The sequence below is a fragment of the Homo sapiens genome, chromosome 3 (assembly GCF_000001405.40).
Source record: "Homo sapiens chromosome 3, GRCh38.p14 Primary Assembly".
Lineage (NCBI taxonomy): Eukaryota > Metazoa > Chordata > Mammalia > Primates > Hominidae > Homo > Homo sapiens.
Genome location: NC_000003.12, coordinates 38,188,950 through 38,200,952, shown reverse-complemented (window position 1 = coordinate 38,200,952; position 12,003 = coordinate 38,188,950). Strand labels below are relative to the sequence as shown.

Below are 12,003 nucleotides of genomic sequence, written 5' to 3'. Positions count from 1 at the left end.
CATGTAAATTAAAAATTTTAATAGGCAAGGCTAGCATGGGACCAATGAATCTACCATTCTTATGTACTGCTAATAGACGCATAAATCACTACATTTCTGAAAAGCAATTTGGCAATATCTTTTAAGATTCTTCAAAATGTGTTTTATGGAAACCTAGATTTTTTAAAATTATAAAAATCACAGAGAAAAGTGTTCATCACAATGTTAAAAGCAATATAAACATAAAATATTTGGAGAATGGTTCCATGTATCACATAACAACATGTCACACTACACACTCAGAATCTGAACTCAGGAACAAAATAGATTTAAATAAAATTGTCTCCATTCCAAATCCAGGGACTAGTTCTGGTCCCAAACCAAATGGTGTAGGTTTACGCTTCCCTGTTCCTCCCCTTTAAATATTCCCTGTTCCTCCCCTTTAAATGTATCTAAAATTCCCAGAAATAATCCAACAGACAATCATAAAAGAACTCTGAAAGGAGAAAAGAGGAAAGCAGAGTGGCTAGGGGCCTCAGAACTTGAAGGACAACATGGCATTATGTTTCCTGAGTTTTTCAACATCATAGGAAAGGTTTAAAAAAAAGTTTCCTGAGCTTTCCTTTAATCTGCTATAACTCAGACTGGGCATTACACAGCCCTGAAACCCAGAACAACTGACAGACATATATCAAAAAGAGCCCCAAGCCTGCTCTCTCTCTCTCTCTGCCTAAAGAAGCAGAAAAGGGGCAGCCCAGCAGAAATCTAATAGGTGGTCCCATCCCTGACTCCATACTTGGAGTTGCAGGAGAGCCCACCATGCCTAACGAGCAGTGCCAATAAAGAGCAGACAGGGGGACTTCATCCCCTCCCCCATATGCAGTACAGCCGGTAGGCCCACATCACCCACACCAGCAGCACCAGTCAGCACAGCTGGCATCTCTTAGCCCTCCACCCAGCAGCAAAGGACTATGCAGGTCCAGTGTTTCCCCACTCCCCACCCAGGAGCAAAGAGGGGCCCAAGGGAAGAGCCTTCCATCCCCACAGGCAATATCAACAGGGACTGAATGGAAGCCCCACTGGCACCAGGTGGGAGTCCACATGATGGGACTAGGAGAGTGCTCACAGACCCGTGAGTCCTGAGTCCAGCATCTACCACGTATTCTCCACTTGGCAGCAACCGGCCCAAGGAAATCCACTCCACTCCCATAGATGGCATGATCAAGGATTGAATGGGAGTCCCCACAGTGCCAGGAGAAAAAAAATCAGACTAGAAAAGCACTGCAAGGGCTCTAAAAATCAAATTATCATTGGAACCATAGCTCACAATAGTACGCCAGGACCTATACACAAAACCTAAACAGGGCACTTAACTACTAAGATAGATTATTTAGATAGGATCATGAAATATTAAAATGCTCTTATTTATTAAAAAAGAAAAAAAGGGCTGGGCACAGTGGCTTATGCCTGTAATCCCAGCACTTTAGAAGGCCATGGCAGGAAGATCGCTTTGAGGCCAGGAGTTCAAGGACAGCCTGGGCAACATAGCAAGACCCCATCTTTATGAAAATTAAAAATTAGCCTGAGGAGGCTGAGGTGGGAGGATCACTTGAGCCCAGGAGTTCGAGGTTGCAGTGAGTTATGATCATGCTACTCCAGCCTGGGTGACTAAGAGAGACCCTGTTTCAAAAAAAAAAAAAGAAAAAAGGCTATAATTTTAAAAATGTTATTTTATAAAAAGCTTTTAATAATTTAGGGAAATACTGAAAATATAATGTAAAATTTAAAAAGCAACAGACAAAATTACATATACAGTATTGTTTTAGATATTTTTTAACCATATAAAAGAAAATGGAAAGCGATATTCCAAAATGTTATCAAGTAGTTGCCTCTTGGTACGAAATTATGAATTTTTCCTGTTTTTATATTGTCTGGTTTTACTACAGTACTTGTTTAATGTTTACTAGCTGTATAATTAAGACTCTAACCACAGTGTACTAAAACTAGTGATACAAAGAGCTATGATAACAGTCAGAGATCACGATTCTGTAAAAGAGTGGGAATGGCCTTAATGAGATGATGTAACACAAGAGTATTGTCTTTTACATACCTGTGGATCTGTCCATTTTTATGCAGATATTCCAGCCCTTCCAGTACTTCTCGGAGTATCGTAGCAATGGTAGATTCATCTAGGACTCCACTTTTGTGTTCCCCTTTTGCCACAATGTGCTTAATAATATCCAGAACAGAACCTGAAAACAGAAGACATAATTTTCTAAAAATCTCTAAATCATTCAATATAATTCAGATCCATTTTAGAATCAAAACACATGTGAACCTTCTCATAAACTTAACTGTGCAGAAATGAAAAAAACAGCAAATATGAGGAAATACAGAAGTTTAAAATTAATAACTTATTTTCAATTCCAATCTAAAACAAAAAGTAGCTGGCTGATATTCAAATAGTATGTTATGCCAGCATCTCCTTTGGATGTCTAGTGAGGTAGTAGAGGATATTTAACTGCCCCTAAATAATCCCTAGGTAAACCAGGCTCGTCAGTACTATTATAAGATACCACAAACCAATATAGGCTTTTAAGATCAGATTAGAATATGCACTGCTGTATGACTAAAGATATAAAAATACAATTGAAATGCCAATCAAATCAGGAGCGAAATACTTGGAGGGTAAGGATCACATACATACACAAACTAACTTAGGACTAAAATTATTTTTCAGGTTAATAAATTATAGAAATAAAAGAGCTAAGGCAAAGACAAATACAAAAAGAATAAAAATAACAGTTCTTTTTAAGTAACAGTCCAGCTGTATTATCAATCCTAAACTTCCCAGGATAAGAAATAATGCTCCTACTAAAGGTTGAAGGCAGAGGAGGAAAAGACACCTATATAGTAATTAAAAGCACAGTGCTGACTACCAAAACTGAAGATTATAATCAGTAAAAAGTTTGGTGGAAATTTGTAAGATTTCTGGCCACATAATGGCCCATAACAATCACAGAACCAAAACAAAACAATATTAGCAACTGTGCCAAGAAGTCTAGAACATTACATAGACTGCAAAGAAAAGATTCAATACCCATTTCTTTGTACAACACCTCAATGATCAAGACTAAAATCAAAACAACTGCTTACATAGTTATCTTAAAAACTTGCCCTACTGGGTACTTTTACTTCACACACTTTAACAAGAAAAAATATACTTCCAAATACATAGAAAGAAGATGGAATTCTCAAAAACATGAAGGACTGAACGCAAGTTTATTTTAGCTCCTACTTAAAATCCACTAACTTGGTAAACTTGATTAAAAAGGCATAAACCCATAATTTAAAAAGAGAACAGGAAAGATAACAGAAGAGAGATGGCAACAATATTCTGGAAGATAGCAGAAAAAGAAAAAGTAACTAAGCACAGTGGAGAAATCTGAACTTCAGTGCTTGCAGAGGAGCTATGCCATTTAGGACAACGTGATCCCTACCCAGAGCTCCAGAAAGTCTCAGAACTACACACACCAAGTACCATACTTCCCCACACCAAGTGAGGAAGAAGTGAAGGAAAGGGTTGAAAACAGAAAAACTGGTTGAAAGTTCAGATAAGACAGAGTAAGATTCTCAGATTCCTATTCCTCCCCGGAGGCTTGCCTACTAACTCTTCACCTCCAATAGGAGATAGGCAGTTTATTCTCTGAAGAGTGAACCAAAGAGACTCACTCTCCAGATAGCTTCCAGACAGGTTTTCCTAACACATTATTACACTGGTTCTTTCCCCTCTCCATTGCTGGAATTCATAAGCTTGTGATCCAGAAGGGGAGAGACCTAAGGAAGAAGTTTGTTCTGCTTAATCAACCACACATTAATCCCCAAAGCAAAGTGATTATACCAAAGGGCCACATGTTTCACCGTTCAGGAAATCCAGGCCACATAAGTACTGCTTAGTAAGAAAACAATTATATTAACAATGATCATAAACACTGTTTACAATGTAATACCTAAAATTATCGTAAACACTGTTTATAACATAATACCTAAAATAGGGAATGCAAAGGAAAACCAATTCCTACTGGAAATGAAAAATTAACACAACTTATTCACTTAACAATTAAGCCCTATTACATTACATGTGAGATCTAAGACTGGGTGCCACCAAATATGGCAAGATATACATGACATGATTGCTAACTTTAAGGGAACTTCTAGTCTGGTAGATGAAACAAATGCAGCATCAAATATCTTGGGGCACATAAAAAGTGACTAAGTCTGCAAAGAGTTTGAAGCAGGAACTCCTTTTCAAACTTTTAGATTTGTATTGATTTCACATCATCCAATGATCAATGGGAAGATTAAAGCAATGCACATCTCTAGTCTATGTCCAGAACAGACATTTTGAACAAAGTTTATAGAAGAAACCCTTCTTCTTTGGCATAACAATTTATCTTCAGTTTCAAACTCCTCCCAACAAGATAATTCTTATGGGTGGAGGAATCGTCACTAAGACACTAATCGTCACTAAGACCTTCATCCTTAACTGAGAGATACTGGTCCTGTAAGCTCCCCCGCTTCTTATCCATTTGGTTTTCTAAGCCTCTTGTAGCCTCTAACTCGATGACGGTGTTTATAATCCTCCATCCTCAAATATCAAAATTATAAAGAATGCAGGTCAGCTAAGAGAAAGGTGAAGAGAAAATATGCTAAGCAAAAGGAAGAAGTAGATTATCACTGAATAACCCAATTAATACCTAAAGTAGGAATAATGAGGGAAAGTTATAACCGCGTATGTAGTATTTTGTCCTCACGCACAACTTGTAAGAAATAGTATATAGGGATAATCTGTTCTCAAACTTTAATGTGTGAAGGAATTACTTGGCAAGCTAGTAAAAATGCATATTCCCAGGCCCTATAAGACAGTCATTCAAGAGAACTGAGGTAGGGCCCAAGAAGCTGGATTTTAAAAGGCATTTAACAACTTATTTTGATGAAAGCTGTCCGTTAAAATCCAAACATTTTTCAGAATAAAAGTAAATAAATCAAATAATGGGAAACAGGGTATTTGGTACAAATTTTGTAACAAAGCAAAAAGTTTAAATGTAGATCATCTATTCCCAAAAAATAATCCCCTGTCAGGCTTCATAGCCTGTGGCATGGAACATTTAAAAAGCAATGCAAAACTTTAATTGTACAATAAAATCATTACAGAATATCAAAATAATATTGACAAAGTAGTGAAGCAGCTGCTGGCTTCAGACACTTGATAAGTCTGAAAATTATAACTCAATCAAAGTAATGACCCCATCAACAAGTTAATTTCCTCACCTTACTAGTATGAAAAGATACTCTTTAAATATAAAATCAATTCATTCAACTTAGTTACTGGTATCTCTACTAGGAAGTTTTAATAAATCTTTAGCTACTACAGTTATTGCTTATGTCTTCCTAAGCCTCAGAAGGTTTCAAAGAGGCCAAAATTTGCTTGGTCTGAGTATTCCATTTTAGACCAAAAGATGTTACAGAAATTTTAAAACCCTGCATTGTTGCTTGAACATCCAAAGCTGGTCACTATTAGTATCAGACATTTTACCTGGATCCTCCTTTAGATCAAGGAAGTCCCCATGCATTTTATCTCTTAGAAAAAGACAAAGTTGAGGGCATCCTTAAACAACCATCTAAGACAGTGAATTTACATTAGATTTCTACATTTCTACACTTACTCCCTTTAAGTACTACAGGTACCTTTTTTTTCCTCTCAGAAGTTTTCTTAATTACTTTGATTTCTAAAAAGCTTACATTTGCAGTTTAGTGCTAATAAACTGGAAATAGCTATTTATACCAAAAGTGCTTCTAACTTCTAAAGCTTAACTTCCTGCAGTAATAAATCCCAACATTCAACATGACAGTTTTAACTAGCAAAGATAGGAATATTACAGTTATAATGAAGCATCATTAAATGATTATAATATTGACACAATTAAACTTATTTTAACCAGGATGTACACCTGGTTGGTGGGGTAAGAGTGACACTCACTATTCATTTTATGATTTAATTACCTTATTAAATTCTACAACAGTACAACGTTCCTAAATCAAAACTGTGCTTTTGTTTTCAATATTCTGACTAAAAAGGTGATATGAAAGAAGGTACCCTATACATATTTCTGTTAACTCTGGTTATTTATATTTTTTAATTTTGGGAGTCTTTGCTTATCAGTAAGCCTCTACCAATAGTCCTCTTCTCTCATTCTCTCTGCTCCAGCTGTGAATCTGTCAGTTCTCAAGACATACACACTCCATCCTGTCTCCATCCCCGTTTCCACAGTATTCTCTCTAGCTGGATCACATCTCCCATCTTTCCCCAGTACTAACTCCAGCCTCCATTTCACCTGGCTAATTATTATTCTTTTTAATTTTTAATTTTTTTTTAGAGACAGAGTCTCACTCTGTCACCCAGGCTAGACTGTAGTGGCAAGATCATGGCTTGCCGTAACCTTAAACTCCTGGCCTCAAGCTATCCTCCAGCCTCCCAAGTAGCCAGGGCTACATGTACGAGCTTAGCTAATTGTTTTATTTTTGGTAGAGACAGGGTCTTGCCATGTTGCCCAGGCTGGGCTGTTGAACTCCTGGCCTAAAGCAATCCTTCCGCCTCAGCCTCCCAAAGCACTGGGACAGCAGGCATGAGCCACCTCACCCAGCCAATTATTACTTATTCTTTAGATCTCAGTTGGACTTCACCTCCAGAGGCAAGTTTTAGTTAATCTCACTGCAACTGTTCTCCCTCAATAAGGTTAAGTTCTCCTGGAATTTGTTCCCATAGCCCACAAGAGCAAGAATCTGATAGCTTTATTCACCAATGTACTGGAGATCAATAAGTATTTGATGAATGGCATTTTAATTAAGCTATAATCCTGACACATCTTCCTCCTGTTTAAAAAAAAAATTTAAGCTGTGCTTAGTTCTAACTTTTGTTTTCTAAATGTTGCCTAACGTTTCATCTCAGTTTAAATGTTTATTCATTTTATAACAACAAAAGATTTCATTTTCCTAAAAAAATGCAAAATTTTTAATATTTAAAAGGTTTAGATGTAATGATCATGTTGACTCATAAAAATATAGGCACTTATAAAAAGAGTTATGACTAACTGGAACATATTTGAAAATTATCCTCCAGGAAATCTGCTGAGTGCTAGGCTAGAAAAATTGGGTAATGTCCCAGAAAACTTAAGACCAAGAGGGACAAAGAGCTACATTTAAAAGACATTCCATCCATCTACATGTCCTGCCCCTTCTATGATCAAGACATATACTCACTGAGAGAGGAACAGGAATTCTTAAAAAAAAAAAAAAAAAAGTCGTTCTGCTTAGGAGTAGCAGAAAGCATAGGCTGGCATACAGATATGGACGAGAGAATTAAGCAGACAATTTATTCCCATTCATCAGAGGACTTTTTTGCAAAACATTAAAAATGTTGTATTACATATTCTCGTAAATTACAAATAAAGAAAATTATGCTATAGGTGATCAATAACGAAAGATACAGTATTACCTAATACTCCCATATCTCTCCATACTGAAAGAACCATGCTTGACCACCATCTTGAAAGGTGGTTGGTGTTAGCAAAGCTTCCAACCATCATATGAACAGGGCCTTTAACAAAGCAATCCAGTTTCTCCAGTGTGTCACTAATGGGATTGAAACAAAAAGGTGATTCTGGCTACACTGAAAAGCATCAAATAACAAGGGCTTATTACTATTAATGACTAAAATTTCTTGTGCACCTATTAAATGTCAGCACAGTGGTGGATGATTTACATGTATCATCTCATTTACTCCTCATCAATACCCTGAAATGCAGAAAGGTAACCCCACATTTAACAGACAAGTAAAAAGTTTCAAAGAGCTGAAAGAGTTTTCCCAATGACATACAATTGCTAAGTAGAAAAACTGAAATTTAATTCTAAAGCCTTATGTTGTTTATAGTCTCTCTGGGGAAGTATGGTGTTCAGTGAGATACAGCAATAAAACTGCAAACTAAACAAATGTGGATTATCTTTTCTGTAACTCTACATTCTAAGATGAAAAATCATACTCCCCCACAAAATACACATGCAAGCAAAAACCAACCAGCACAGTGATAGGAAGGCCAGTGTGGCTCCATCACTAACTAGTCCTACAAAGTCTTGCCATGTGATTCAAATCCATGCCTTGGCAAAATGACTAATTTACCAAATGGCATGAGCTTTTGGGTAACCAAAACAAAATGTTCGATCTATACATGCCAAGGTTTCACAGTTTGCAATCAGCAATATTTATATTTTATTCTAAGAATAAAGTAGAAATACTTGTATATATACTGCAAGATAAAGCACTTAAGTAATTATGTTAATATTGCGTACCAAGATTTTGTGTGTAAAGGAAAAGAGATTCAAGCTTAAAAAGTCCATGATATTAAACTTGTATTGGAAACTTGTATTGATGTCAAATTATAATTTTATTTTTAATATATTTCCAAGCTCTGGAAGCAATGAAGTAGTAATGAGCACTCCAAGCATCCAAGTTATGCTTTCTAAGTACCATTCCCGAGGAAAAAATACCAAAGCTCATTAGAGTATTGGCTGATTCAGGGTCTGGGAAAATGAATACAAATATAACCCTCGGGAATCTTGAATTATAAAGTTAAGGATGTAATGAAAGACTGATGGGTTCACGTCAAGAGGACACAAGAGTGACTTTAAAAGGGCTCCCCCTGACAAATTTTGGACAACCTGCATATCAAAAAGAATAGAGTATAACTGATGGAAAGACACTGAATACATAAAAATCCTTGGGTCTATAATAATACTTGAAAAAGTGAAGGCCCTACCCAACTGGAAAAAGGAAAATTTTTAAACCCTCTCAGTTGCTACCACTGGAGATGATTACTAAACCAACATTTTACACTAAAACTTGATCCTTAAAAAAGACTCCATTATTTATCTTGCCTTTTCAGTAGGAACTAGAGTACAGATTAATCAGCGTCCCAGTTGATAACGAAAAGTTCTTCATAGAAGGATGTCAGTTTATAAATATAAAAGAAATGATGCCGTAAGAAAAATCACCGTTTTACAACCCCTGATGAAATAACTGACTCAAACAAGGATTCAAACAACGAATGTGAAAATCATTAAGATAAAAGACTTATGGAGAACTGGATACTTACAAAGTAAGATTACTTGCTAGCTACAAAGGGGGAAATGTTACCTTTTCCATGGAGAGCCCTGGCTGTCCTAATCTTAAGCAAACAAAACTAACATCACTATTAAAGATTCAACCAGATAGCAAATATTTCCTGATGTAATACAATATGAAATACACAGCATCACCAAGAAGTATCCTCCTACAAAATATTTAACCTGAATTTAATCAAGCCTTTAGATCTAATTTTCAATATACAAGAAATAGAGGACTACAGATCAAGTTAAATACCACCAAGAAGAAATACTTAGATAAATCCAGAATATGGCATATTCTACAAGATAACTGGACTAGACTCTTCAGTAAGTTTACATCATGGAAGGGAGGAAGCAAGAAGGAAGCATCCTAAATTAAGAGAGATTTAGACCAGGCACAATGGCTCACACCTGTAATCCCAGCACTTTGGGAGGCCAAGTAGGAAGGATCGCTTGAAGACAGGAGTTAAGACATGAACCTGGGCAACATAGTGAGACCCCATCTCCAAAAAAAAAAAATTATATTAAATTAAATGATAAAAGTAACTGAGCATGGTGGTACATGCCTGTAGTCTCAGCTACTTGGGAGGCTGAGATGGGAGGATCACTTGAACCCAGGAGTTTTGAGGCTGCAGTGAGCTATGATTGCACCACTGCACTCCAGCCTGGGTGACAGAGCCAGACAGTCTCTAAAAAGAATTAAGAGAGATTTAAGCAGCATGACAACAAAATGAATCAAATGCAATGTGTGAAAACTGTCTTGGCTCATAGATTAGCATCTTCAGCAAATACTATATTTTCAGTATCTCCTCAAATGCAAATGTCCATGAAAACGAAATCAGGATAGAAAAGAAGGAAACTTTTACTAACTTTTCAAACCATGGTACTTATAGCATTTCCTTGTACTCTACTCACCTCCACTTAGCAGCTTCATGACAAGCCACAGCTCATCTTTTACCACAAAAGATGTGTAGTAAGATACAATATTAGGATGATGGCATTGACTCATGGCTTGAATTTCTTTCTACAAAGAAGAGAAAACATAATAATTCATTATATGCAAGCCTAAAACAAATGTTGTGAGTTAGCAAATCCAGATTTTGAAATCTCAAGACTGTGTCACACCTTTCTGGGATCTCCATGGCTCTGATTTCTTCAAGAAGGGTTAAACCAATAAAACCACTTTGTCTCCCTCAGTCCATTCTGACTCAATTTCCTTCACTCATTACACTAGTAATCTTTCAAACTAGAAGCACACTATTTAACACACCCTGGCACAACACTCCAGGAGGCCTCCTTTGGGACATATATTTTTGCTTCAAGGTGCCCTTGAAGAACCATCTTGGGAAATCTGGTTTTATAGCTATAAAAGATATTAACTAATAAACAGGGTTTTTTTATAGTTTGTGTAGGGATTTTTTTTTCTTTGCAAAATATTACTTCATTCCATTTTTGTGAAATAATTCTCACACTAAAGAGAAACAAACTGAAACAGGACAACGTCAAAAACTAAATCCAGAGTAGAAATCTGAGCCAAAAATCTAAGCTTACTCTATCTCAGCTTATGATTTTAAACTAGATTTGGTATGACAAAATGCCTTATAAAGCCATGTGTGATCAGGGCCCTGTTTACCTTCTTTTAACTCTGGACATTTAACCCTATTGTGCCTCAGCCTCAAATACACTTCCCCTATCATCTCTGCTTAGCTAACTCCAATTCTTCCTTCTGATCTCAGTCTAGACAAAATTTCCTCCCAGCTTCCCAGGTTTAGTTAGATGCTCCTTCTCTTAGCTTCCAAGCACCCTGTATGTCTCCTCCCATCATGGTACATAAAATACTGGATAGTACATTGTGTGCTTATCTGTCTGTCTCTCCCTTCTAGGCTGAGAGCTCCATGAAGGCAAGTACTCAAAAGTAGATTCTCAATCACTGTGGAACTTATCTGACTATACTATAATTGCCTATTTCTTTTGACATCCCCCACAAAACTGTAAGCTCAGTGAGAACTAAAACTGTTCTTAGCACATATCATTGTGCCTGGCACAGAGTACACCTTCAATAAATATTTGTTGAATGAATGAAATACTACAGCACTTTATAAGGCTTTTCACCTATTAATGTACCTGCCCTATGCCCTTGGGATTTGTTCAATAAGATCAACTGTGTGAAAGTCGTCCATAATCCCTGACTGATAAGGAGTACTCAATAAATGCTAACTTTCAATTTCTCATCATCTTTACTTGAATGCAACTTCCTTTATGGCAAGGATCTTGCCATACATATCTTGCAACCCCAAAGTCACCAGCACGGTCTTCTGTACTAAAAGCTAAGTAAATATGAAAGAAAAGGAAGAAAGAACTAAAGTAAGCACCTTGCTACTAACATAGTTATACAGAATTTCAAGGAAAGGTAAGTACACATAAGAGGAAACAGATAAGAGAGCATATAGGTACCAAATGAGTAGTAAAGATGTTAATGTTGCAAGATGATTCTGCTGAGAAACAGCATGAAGGAAAAAAAGATAAATGTTATAAGAATCTATAGGAAAGAACAATTAAGGTAGGCAAGTGTGATCAAAAAAAGCCTTTACAGAATAGGTGGGAACCATGTTTAATTCTATAGGATAGGGAGAAATAACAGTACAAGATGATAGGTACATATGATTTTCATAAATGATGACATACCTAAGACATCCAATGAGTAAATCTGTCTAGGATAAGAAGTTCATGTTTTCAACACATATTAACAATACTAAGCACCTACTATAATCCCTACTACGTGCCAGGTATAGTGCTAGGTACTCG

The 12,003-nt window shown here is 36.5% G+C and overlaps 1 protein-coding gene across 8 annotated transcripts in view; it reads right to left on the bottom strand.

Moving 5' to 3' along the window:
- Nucleotides 1-12,003, bottom strand: part of OXSR1 (oxidative stress responsive kinase 1) — a 91,422-nt gene that overhangs the window by 54,532 nt on the left and 24,887 nt on the right. For 6 of the 8 annotated variants that reach the window (XR_007095781.1, XM_011534331.3, XM_017007601.2 and 3 more), the window contains exons 3-4: nt 10,114-10,222; nt 2,090-2,231 (exon numbers count right to left, since the gene is read on the bottom strand). Coding sequence is in view for 7 of the 8 variants with exons in the window: in XM_011534331.3 (XP_011532633.1) it covers nt 2,090-2,231; nt 10,114-10,222 (251 nt within the window). In the remaining variant the exon portion in view is untranslated. Of the gene's footprint in view, nt 1-2,089; nt 2,232-7,534; nt 7,672-10,113; nt 10,223-12,003 lie in introns of those variants that run through there. The other 2 variants (XM_047449387.1, XM_047449388.1) reach the window with 1 other exon arrangement.